Below are 12162 nucleotides of genomic sequence, written 5' to 3'. Positions count from 1 at the left end.
AAACCTGTGTTGCCTGTGGCCTGCAGGTACAGGGAGATTTGTAGGGAAGGGGCTGGCACACCCCAGAAGCCAGGAATTATTTTAGGTTTACAAAAAATTGAGTAGAGGAGGGGAACAAGATGGTTGACTAGATACAGTTAGGAGGCACTGCTCCCACTGAGAGAGATCAAATCATCTAGTAACCCAATATAATTTGGGCAGATCTTCAGAGAGAAAACACCGAGGGTGGATTGAGAGTTGACACTCACTGAAGCTGAAGAGAGAGGAAGCTGGAAACCCTGCGTGGGGCACCTGAATACCAGTGCTAGTTCCCAGCCCCAAACAGCTCCTGGGGAAGGGGTGAGTGAGGGGACTGAGGAACAGCCCACTCTCACCATGGTCCTCTGGAATCCTATCTAGAGGGCACCCCATGTCCCCCACATACCTGTGAGCTGCCAGGGGGATCTGTCTGGGGAGTAGGCAGAGACAGGGATTCAGCTGGCATAGAGGCCAGGTGATTTCATGCATAGGGCACCTCTAGCAGAGTGTTGCCATAGGCACCCATCCCCTAGGGCTTCTCATCTACATCCAAGAGGCTGTAGCCCCAGCTGAGAGTTGAACCAGGAGAGAGCAGGTCCAGCTTCCTGCTCTCTATGGAACTGGGGCACCTCTGATGAGCAGGCCCTCTTGCCTGCCAGCCTCTCCCAAGGCCCCTGCCTGGTTGCTCTGCAGGAGCATGCGCACAGTGAAACCTCCATTGCTCAGACTGGGTGCTTTCCTCTCCCTGAGTATTTTCTCAGACATCTGGGTGCATGTTGGATCCCCCAGCACAGCTATAACCCAACCCCGTGGGCTGTCTAGGTATCCCATGGTTGGTGGTTACAGCTCAAGAATGCAGAGCTGAGATCTGTGGCCGGCACTCAAGCATGGGAGGGAGTGCCACTCTCAGGGCACTGAGACAGGTGAGATGTGTGGGTCTGTGGGCCAGTGTGGGAGTGAGGCATGCCTCATTCTGCAGGGCTAGTACGGAAAGAGTGTGACATATCTCCCTGTCACAGCTTCTGCTTGAGGAAGCTCTGAGGTCTGGAACACTTATGAAACATGGGCATGGCACCAGTGATCAGAGGGGGCTGCCCTAAGGCACCCTTGGTTAAGGAGTCATGTCTGCCCCTACCCCCACCACAAAGCACACCTGTAAATGTGAGGAAATACTAAAGAGCCTAGTGGGGCTAAAAGCCTATCTACTGGCTATTACTCTTAAACACCATCTACTGGATCACAGCCCAAATACAACACTAAAAATTATTCTGCTAATATATACCCTTTGTGAAACCAAGCTTGAGAATTCATCTATAAATAAAGTTCCTATACAGACCCTTGGTCCTCTGATAGCATCTAGAAATGAACCAAACTGAGTACAGTCAACTAACACCACAGTTAAAGGAATACTACCTCCCCAGATGAGAAAGAATCAGCTCAAGAGCTCTGGCAATTCAAAAAGCCACAGTGACCCCTTACCTTCAAACGAGCCCACTAGCTCCTCAGCACTGGTTCTTAACTAGACTGAAATAACTGAAATAACAGACACAAAATTCAGAATCTGGATGGCAAGGAAGCTTATTGAGATCAAAGAGAAAGTTGAAACACAATCCAAGGAATCCAGTAAAATGATCCAAGAGCTGAAAGATGAAATAGCTGTTTTAAGAAAGAACCAAACTGAACTTCTAGAGCTGAAAAATTCACTAAAAGAATTTTATGATACGGTTTGAAGTATTAAGAGCAGAATAGACAGAGCTGAAAAAAGAACCTCAAAACCTGAATACTGGTCCTTTGAATAAACTCAGACAGAAATATAGAAAAAAGAATTTCAAATAATGAACAAAACCTCTGAAAAATATGGGATTATGTAAACAGACCAAACTTACTACTCATTGGCATTCTTGAGAGAGATGGAGAGAGAGTAAGCAATTTGGAAATATATTTGAGGATATAATCCATGACAATTTATGTAATCTCACAGAGGTTGACATGCAAATTTTCAACATGGATCTCTTAGATGTTCATCAAGAATTCCTTACTTTATAAGTTTTAATGTTCCTTTTAATACTAGTGAGTGATTCTGGAACATCCTATTGGTATCCTTCAACTTTTCTCTCTAATGTTGCCTCATTTGAGAAGCTTTTCATGGTCCCCATAGACTTAATTAGATGATTTTTCTCCAAGGTGTTTCCATCTCTCCAAGGTGTGGCCACAGATCTTTGCTCATACCTCTGCTTTGCCCCTTGGTAGTATTTTGTCTTAGTTTGATGAGTATCTTCTACCTGACCCTTTTTTAAATCTCTATATTTCTTTCCAGAACTTTAAGGGGAACTCAGAAAATATTTTTCTGATCTATATTATTGATCTCAGGACTCTTGACTGTGTTTGAAACTTCAGCCTTGTCCTCATCTCTTGATGTTTTATGCAATGTTTGACTTTAGGAGAAGGTTATGAGTTTCAGTCACGTGGTCTTCATTCACACTAATCTATGTCCCTGTTCTAAGACTTTTATTTCCTGGGTCCCAATTCCTGTTTGAGTTATCTGTTCATCTCCTCTGTGCCTCTTGGACTGATCTTTTTGTTGCTTTTGTTCCTTGTCGTGCCTACTCTTTCCTTCTCCATTGGGTTTCTGGGTTGATATTTTGCTATTTCATAATACCTGTCTCCTGCCATCTCAGAGTTATCATAGTATCGTTTATCCTAAATTCACTGTTACCAAGGTTGGTTTATCTGCCAGAAAACATGTTAGGGTCCACAATCTTGCTTCTACGTGAAATGACACCTGCTATATCTTCTAATTCCCTTTGAAACTGAGTTAGTACCCTTAGAATGTGGCCCTCCTAAATGGATGGCCTGATTCAGGATACTGACCATTCCCAATGAAACCTGTGCTTTTCCCTTCCAATACAGCTTGTGTTGACCTCTGTCTTTTGGATAAAGGATTATTATTCTGAAGACACGTAGACCTGGCTGCATCCTGAACTCTATATAGTTTTATGCATTTGTTATTTTTTTAACTTTTTCTGTTTTTAAAAAAAATTCAATTATTTTAAAATTTTTTTGTGGGTACATAGTAGGTATATATATTTATGGGGTACATGAGATGTTTTGATAGGGACATGCAATGTGAAATAAGCACATCAAGGAGAATAGGGGCTCCATTCTCTCAAGCATTTATCCTTTGAGTTACAAACAATCCAATTACATTCTTTATTTTAAAATATATAATTATTATAGGCTATAGTCACCCTGTTGTGCTATTAAATAGTATGTCTTATTTATTCTTTCTATTCTTTTGTACCCATTAACCATTGCCACCTTCCCCCCAACCCCACATTACTCTTTCCAGCCTCTGGTAACCATCCTTGTATTCTCTGTGACCACAGGTTCAATTGTTTTTATTTTTAGATCCCACAAATAAGTGTGAATATGTGATGTTTGTCTTTCTGTTGCTGGCTTATTTCACTTAACACAATAATCTCCAGTTCCATCTATGTTGTTGCCAATGACTGGATCTCATTCTTTCTTTAGGGATGAGTAGTACTCCACTGTGTATATGTACTACATATTCTTTATCTATTCCTCTGCCGATGGGCACTTATGTTGCTTCCAAATCTTAGCTATTGTAAACAGTGCCGCAACAAACATTAGGAGTGCAGACATCTCTTTGATATCCTGATTTCCTTTCTTTTGGGTATACACCCAGCAGTGTGATTTCTGAATCATATAATAGCTCAATTTTTAGTTTTTTTGAGGAATCGCCAAACTGTTCTCCATAGTGCTTGCACTAACTTACATTCCCACTAACAGTCTATGAGGGCTCCCTTTTCTCCACATCCTCACCAGCATTTGTTATTGCCTATCTTTTAAATACAAGCCATTTTACCTGGGGTAAGATGATATCTCATTGTAGTTTTGATACGCATTTCTCTGATGATCATTGATGTTGAGTACCTTTTCATATGCCGGTTTGCCATTTGTAGGTCTTCTTTTGAAAAATGTCTATTCAAATCTTTTGCCCTTTCTTTGATCAGATTATTATATTTTTTTTCCTATAGAGTTGTTTGACCTCCTTATATATCAGACTGGTAGTTTGCAAATATTTTCTCCCATTCTGTGGATTGTCCCTTCACTTTGTTGATTGTCTCCTTTGCTGTGCAGAAGCTTTTTAACTTGATTTGATCCCATTTGTCCATGTTTACTTTGGTTGCCTGTGCTTGTGGGGCATTGCTCAAGAAATCTTTGCCCAGATCAATGTCCTGGAGATTTTCCTCATTGTTTTCTTGTAGTAATTTCATAGTTTGCAGTCTTAGATTTAAGTCTTTAATCCACTTTGATTTGATTTTTGTATATGGTGGGCAATAAGGGTCTAGTTTCATTCTTTTCCATATGTATATCCAGTTTTCCCAGCACTATTTATTGAAGAGACTAGCTTTTCCCCAGTGTATGTGCTTGGCACCTTTGTCAAAAATGGATTCACTGTAGGTGTGTGGATTCATTTCTAGGTTCTCTATTCTGTTTCATTGGTCTATATGTCTGTTTTTATGCCAGTAACATGCTGTTTTGGTTACTATAACCCTGTAGTATAATTTGAAGTCAGGTAATGTGATTTCTTCAGTTTTGTTCTTTTTGCTTTGGATGGCTTTGGCCATTCAGGGTCTCTTTTGGTTCCATACAAACTTTAAGATTGTTTTTTCTATTGCTATGATGTTGCTGGTATTTTCATAGGGTTTGGTATGCATTTTTTTCTTGCATTTCCTTTGGCTTCATAGAATAAATTATTTGTCCCTCACCAGGAGTTTCTTCCTACCATTGTAATGTTGTAATGTCTAAATCCTTTATGCTCTTGGATACTTTCCAATAGATTAATCTAGCTCTATTTTCAGGAGGGATTTTTTGGATGAGAGGAAAGTCAAATGTAGGGAGACAGTTAAGATGAGCAAAAGTCGTTGAGTAATTTCACTAAGATTAGAAAGCGTATGACTAGCAATACCTATAGGACTTGGCCTAGCCTTGTACCTACCATTTCAATTCCAGGTATAGGAAACATTTGCTGTTTTCTCCAAACTTATTCTCTGGTCAGGTTCTTCCTTCTTGTAAAGGCTCTCACTTATTAATTCACTCTTCCACCCATGGTCCCACCTGTATCAGTGGGAGTTTTCTAGGGAATGTTCTGTGCTGGTTCTGGGGGTGCCCCTCCTCATCTCCTTGCCTTCTTACTGAACTTCCCTAGATCAGATTTTTCTGGGCCATCAAGCTGGGTGGTCCCACTGACACAGGGCAGGTGAGCCCCAAAGTGGAGCTTAGCCTGTGAGGCTTCACCCAGAAAAAAATTCAAGGGCAAGTTGATGGTAGCGTAGAAGAAAACGGCTTTATTGAAGTGGCAGTGTTACAGCTTTGGCAGTATTACAGCTCTGGAAGTGCCACAGCTCTGTGACTGTTCTGGCAGAGCAGGGATACCCCACAGGCAGTGTGCTGAGAGTAGCAGCTCAGGGCAGCTTTGCAGTCATATTTACAGCTATTTTTTTTTTTTTTTTTTTTGAGATGGAGTCTCACTCTGCCACCCAGGCTGGAGTTCAGTGGTGTGATCTCAGCTCACTGAAAACTCTACCTCCTGGGTTAAAGCAATTCTCCTGCCTCAGCCTTCCTGAGTAACTGGGACTACAGGCATGTGCCCACACACCAGGCTAATTTTTGTATTTTTAGTAGAGAAGGGGTTTCGCCATGTTGGTCAGGCTGGTCTCAAACTCCTGACCTCAGGTGATCTGCCTGCCTTGGTCTCCCGAAATGCTGGGATTACAGGCGTGAGCCACTACACCCGCCCTATATCTACTTTTAATTGCATGTAGATTAAGGAGCAGCATATGCAGAAATTTTTAGGGAAAGTGTAGTAACTTCTGGGTAGTTGGATCATTGCCATGGAAAGGGGCAGTAACTCCAAGGTGTCCTGGCAATGGTAAACCGACATGGCAAACTAGTGGGCATGTCTTATGGAAAGCTGCTTCTGCCCCATCCCTGTTTTAGCTACTCCTCAATTTAGTCTGGTGTCTGAGCTCACCCTCTGGAGTTGAATCCCGCCTCCTACCTCACCGGTCCCCATGACAGGAAGCCTTTCCTTCCTCCTCAGTGCAGGGCCTTGGCAAGGCACCCTGGAGTACGCTGTTCAAAATATTCCCTGCTGGGGCTATTCCCTGGGGCCCCAATAAGAGAAAGAGATCTTGTTAGAACTTTGTTTGAAGAGGAGGCAAAAGTACTCATTGGTGTCTAGGTGATGGGAAATTTGCCTTGTATCCCTATAGACAATGCTTGAAAAAGTGCCCATTAAATACACCTTTCTTCACACTTGACTAGTAGCTTAACTTCTTGTCGCCCTGTAGGTCAATCAATGCAGCTCTTTGGTAAGTAATGGCTAAGGGTAGACCCAAGGAAGAGAAATAAATACAGGTGACATCCACATATTAACTTATCCCTAGCCTCCCCAGATCTGGACAATTTGATAGGCAGTCTGGGGTATAATTACATGCTCTTGATATCACTAGGGAAAATCAGAAATACAGGGAATGCTGTGTACATTGTCAGGAGCTTATCTGGACCTTTGGTATTGTGTGAAACAGGCAAAGATGGGATGGAGTATGTGCGAATTTTTCACTTCAAAGCAGGCAAACATCATTCTAGTCCTGGGTGATCAGTAAGCTATTTGGAAGGCTGCTCCTCTTTGAAGCCTATGAGGTGAATCACAGGGAAACGTTTATGAAAGCACCTAAGTCCTGAGCTCCTGATTCCTGCCCCCACTGCCTCCCTTTACCTACTTCTCTGTTGGAGGGAGAGGAGCTGAGCTTACTGGGTCAAACTTTTCTTGAAGCACAAGGATATAATGAAGGACATTTTCTGGGTCCTGAGGGGATAGTTGGGGAGATTATAGTTGGGAAGGGGAAACTATTCTGCCTGTTGTCCCTGATACCATCCCTCTCCCTCAGTATCAACGTAGATCCAGACATTCTGTTTTACTTACCTCCAAGTTGTAACTGTTCAGAAACTAATTGAGTTAAAGCCTCCAGTTTTTCTTTAGAGAGCGGCCACTGCTGAATCCAAATGGGTGTGTCAGATTTCCATTGTAAAGGAGTAGGACCAGGAGGCGTGGCAGCGGCTGCCACTAGAAAGGATAACCTAAACCCGCCCTGTTTTCTTTTACAGTAACTGGGAGGGGTTTAGTAATCCCTTCATGTTTTGGACCGAGACTGGGTCCAGGAACAAACCCCATGTTTTCCATCATATGCTGACTGGGAGCACCATAAGAGTTATGTGGAATATTAATTTCAGCCCCCTGTTGTGCCAGTAAATCTCTAATTCAGTGTGACCTTGTTTAACCCTAGTAAAAGAAGCAGGAGTTTGGCCTGGGGTGCATAATTTATCCTAAGCTCTCATACACACCTTTGTTACTTGTTTTGTGGTAAGAGCATCAAAGCCTAATTGGGCATAAGTATGAGAGAAACTATTGGAGCTTGTGAGCTGAGCCTGAGTAATTAGAATGCCATTAGTCCGATTTAGCTGAGCCTGGAGACAGGCCTTCTCTGCCCACCAGGCTAAGATGTGGTTAGAACAGCTTTTGCTAAAAGGTCCCAGTCTAAAGGAAGCAAAATGACCTCAGTACAAAGTTTGTAATACCATTTTAACATAAGGAGAAGTAGGGATGTACTGAGTACAAGCATCCTTAAATTCTTTCAAAAAGGTAAGATTGAGAGGTACATAACAATGCAGACCAGTTGAGGAACTGAAATGACAGGAGGGCTGCAGTGGATGGGGGAAGCCCTGGAGAATTACAGGTAAATGGTAGTTTGGTCCCGGAGCCATTAGGTGACGCCCGAAGGCAAATGCTGCAAAGGTTTGTAAAGGGAAGAATTAGCATATATGTGGTCCTGGGCTGTGTGAGTTGGGCCGTGGGAGCTACAAGTACTGGCTGTTTGTGAAAAGAAATAAGGTCATCAGGGGGTGACATTAAGCCAAAGTCACCGGAGTTAGACATTGAATTTTCAACAGTTGGAGGAGGAGTAAGCGAAGGGAGAGACTGAGCAGATAACAAAGGCCATGTGGGAGAGGAAAGTTGAGGAGGTATCAGAACGGCACGTACCAAGGCCCAATCACCCCAAACAGTGATGGGAACATAATTCCCTGTTGAGACCAGTTCCCAGAATGTTGAACCAACACGATCCCATACTTTTACATATACGGTTCCTTTTTCAGGAAACCAAGGACAGTATTTTTCCACGGCCCTGAATACAGTGACCATATTTTCCATGGTTACTCGAACCCTTCCCTGTTTTAACAGGTCTACATCTAAGGTTCCTTTTTCAGGAAACCAAGGACAGTATTTTCCCACTGCCCTGAATAGAGTGACCATATTTTCCATGGGCACTTAAACCCTTTTCTGTTTTAACCGGAGTGTAATATAGAAGAGATAAGTATAATTTTTATACTCCATGTGACCCATAGTTAACCCAGACCATACACAGACTACTCACCAGTCATCAGGGAGTCAAACAAGCATTTATGTGGACCAAACCAATGATGTTTCTCTGCACCTACCAAAAGGAATCGGGTTCCCACATGCATTTGGGAAAACGAAAAACCATGTGGGTGCCAGATATCGGGGGAGCCTGCCCCCGATAATTCATCATTATTTCACGTAGGTTCTTTTCTATTTCCCTAAGTGTTGGCTGGTCTGAGAAATAAACGGAAAGAGTACAAGAGAGAAATTTTAAAGCTGGGTATCCAGGGGAGACATCACATGTGGGCAGGTTCCATGATGCCCCCTGAGCTGCAAAACCAGCAAGTTTTTATTAGCAATTTTCAAAGGGGAGGGAGTGTATGAATAGGGTGTGGGTCACAGAGATCACATGCTTCAAGGGCAACAAAATATCACAAGGCAAATGAGCAGGGCAAGGTCACAAGGCAAAGGTGAAATTAGCATTACTGATGAGGTTCCCTGTCCCACTGTGCATGCATTGTCATTGATAAACATCTTAACAGGGTTCAAGAGCAGAGAACTGGTCTGACTAGAATTCGCCAGGCTGGAATTTCCTAATCCTAGCAAGCCTAGGGATCCTGCAGGAAGCCAGGGCATGTTTCATCCCTTATCTGCAACTGCATAGGGCAGACATTCCTAGGGCAGCCATATTAGAGGCCCCCCCTGGGAATGCATTCTTTTCCCAGGGCTGTTAATTATTAATATTCCTTACTGGGGAAAGAATTCAGCCATATTTCTCTTACCCATTTTCGGTAATAAGAGAAATATGGCTCTGTCCTGCCCAGCCCACAGGCAACCAGACTTTAAGATTATCTCCCTTGTTCCCTGAAAATCGCTGTTATCCTGTTCTCAAGGTGCCCAGATTTCATATTGTTTAAACATACATGCTTTATGAGCAATTTGTGCAATTAACGCAATCATCACAAGGTCCTGAAGTGACATACATCCTCAGCTTACGAACATGACAGGATTAAGAGATTAAAGACAGGCATAGGAAATTATAAGAGTATTGATTGGGGAAGTGACAAATGTCCATGAAATCTTCATAATTTATGTTCAAAGATTGCAGTAAAGACAGGCATAAGAAATTATAAAAGTATTAATTTGGAGAACTAACAAATGTCCATGAAATCTTCACAATTTCTGTTCTTCTGTCATGGCTTCAGCAGGTCCCTCCATTCGGGGTCCCTGACTTCCCACAACAATCAGGTGTAATTATCTATTAGTTTTCTGAAGACAGAGGCTTAAGGATGGGCTGCTTTGGGGATAATTTGAAGCAGATGCTGAAGTGATCAGAGTCATATTTCTTGACACTCCCCATCCTCCTCCCAACACCACACACTGGGGTTGCTGAGAGAAAGAATGTATTATTTGTGTCAGGCCTCTGAGCCCAAGCCAAGCCATCACATCCCCTGTGACTTGCACGTATATGCCCAGATGGCCTGAAGTAACTGAAGAATCACAAAAGAAGTGAATATGCCCTGCCCCACCTTAACTGATGACATTCCACCACAAAAGAAGTGTAAATGGCCGGTCCTTGCCTTAACTGATGACATTACCTTGTGAAAGTCCTTTTCCTGGCTCATCCTGGCTCAAAAAGCTCCCCCACTGAGCACCTTGTGACCCCCACTCCTGCCCACCAGAGAACAAACCCCCTTTGACTGTAATTTTCCTTTACCTACCCAAATCCTGTAAAACGGTCCCACCCTTATCTCCCTTTGCTGACTCTCTTTTCGGACTCAGCCCGCCTGCACCCAGGTGAAATAAACAGCCATGTTGCTCACACAAAGCCTGTTTGGTGGTCTCTTCACACAGACGCGCATGAAATTTGGTGCTGTGACTCGGATCGGGGGACCTCCCTTGGGAGATCAATCCCCTGTCCTCCTGTTCTTTGCTCTGTGAGAAAGATCCACCTATGACCTCAGGTCCTCAGACCAACCAGCCCAAGGAACATCTCACCAATTTTAAATCAGGCAAGCGGCCTCTTCTTACTCTCTTCTCCAACCTCTCTCACTGTCCCTCAACCACCTTCTCCTTTCCACTCTTCAATCTCTCCCTTCTCTTAATTTCAATTCCTTTCATTTTCTGGGAGAGACAAAGGAGACATGTTTTATCTGTGGATCCAAAACTCCGGCGCCAGTCATGGACTGGGAAGACAGCCTTCCCTTGGTGTTTAATCATTACAGGGATGCCTCTCTGATTATACACCCACGTTTCAAGGGTGTCAGACCACGCAGTGATGCCTGCCTTGGTCCTTCACCCTTAGCGGCAAGTCCCACTTTTCTGGGGAAGGGGCAAGTACCTCAACCCCTTCTCTCCTTGTCTCTATCGCTTCTCTGCTTTTCTGGGAGAGGGGCAAGTACCCCTCAACACCTTCTCCTTCACCCTTAGTGGCAAGTCCCGCTTTTCTGGGAGGGGGCAAGTACCCCTCAACCCCTTCTCCTTCACCCTTAGTGGCAAGTCCCACTTTTCTATGGGGCAAGAACCCCCAATCCCTTACTTCCACGCCCCAACCTCTTATCTCTATGCCCCAATCCCTTATTTCTGCACCCCAACATCTTATCTCTGCACCCCAATCCCTTATTTCTGCACCCCAACCTCTTATCTCTGCACCCCAACCTTTTATCTCTGTGCCCCAATCCCTTATTTCCATGCCCAACCTCTTATCTCTGCGCCCCAATCCCATATTTCCGTGCCCCAACCTCTTATCTCTGTGCCCCAATCCCTTATTTCTGTGCCCCAACCCCTTATTTCCATGCCCTGACCCCTTATTTCCATGCCCCAGCCCCTTATTTCTGTGCCCCATCCCTTATTTCCGCACCCTGACCTCTTATCTCTGCACCCCAACACCTTTTCTCACTTTTCTGGAAGGTAAGAACCCCCGAATCCCTTCCCTCCATTTCTCTACTCTCTCTTTTCTCTAGGCTTGCTTCCTTCACTATGGGCAACCTTCCACTCTCCATTCCTCCTTCTACTCCCTTGGCCTGTGTTCTCAAAAACTTAAAACCTCTTCAACTCACACCTGACCTAAAACCTAAATGCCTTATTTTCTTCTGCAATGCTGCTTGACCCCAATACAAACTCGACAGTAGTTCCAAGTAGCCAGAAAATGGCACTTTGAATTTTTCCATCCTGCAAGATCTAAATAATTCTTGTCATAAAATAGGCAAATGGTCTGAGGTGCCTGACATCCAGGCAGTCTTTTACACATCAGTCCCTTCCTAGTCTCTGTGTCCAGTGCAACTCGTACCAAATCTTCCTTCTTTCCCTCCTGCCTGTCCCCTCAGTGCCAACCCCAAGCATCTCTGAGTCTTTCTAATCTTCCTTTTCTACAGACCCATCTGACCTCTCCCTTCCTCCCCAGGCTGCTCCTCGCCAGGCCGAGCTATGTCCCAATTCTTCCTCAGCCTCTGCTCCTCCACCCTATAATCTTTTTATCACCTCCCCTTCTCACACCTGGTCCGGCTTACAGTTTCATTCCGTGACTAGCCCTCCCCCTCCTGCCCAGCAATTTACTCTTAAAAAGGTGGCTGGAGCTAAAGGCATAGTCAAGGTTAATACTCCTTTTTCTTTATCCCAAATCAGATAGCGTTTAGGCTCTTTTTCATCAAATATAAAAA

The 12162-nt window shown here is 43.9% G+C and overlaps 1 annotated feature.

Annotated features, from left to right (window-relative positions):
* Positions 8735–9276: an enhancer, noted in NCBI's record as "OCT4-NANOG hESC enhancer chr11:6097755-6098296 (GRCh37/hg19 assembly coordinates)". NCBI's record gives its function as "activates a minimal SCP1, AML or CMV promoter by ChIP-STARR-seq in primed H9 embryonic stem cells {active_cell/tissue: H9 hESC(primed)}" and the evidence as "EXISTENCE:reporter gene assay evidence [ECO:0000049][PMID:30033119]".

This window comes from Homo sapiens, chromosome 11 (genome assembly GCF_000001405.40).
Source record: "Homo sapiens chromosome 11, GRCh38.p14 Primary Assembly".
NCBI classification, from domain to species: domain Eukaryota; kingdom Metazoa; phylum Chordata; class Mammalia; order Primates; family Hominidae; genus Homo; species Homo sapiens.
This window is presented reverse-complemented; position numbering and strand designations above follow the sequence as displayed.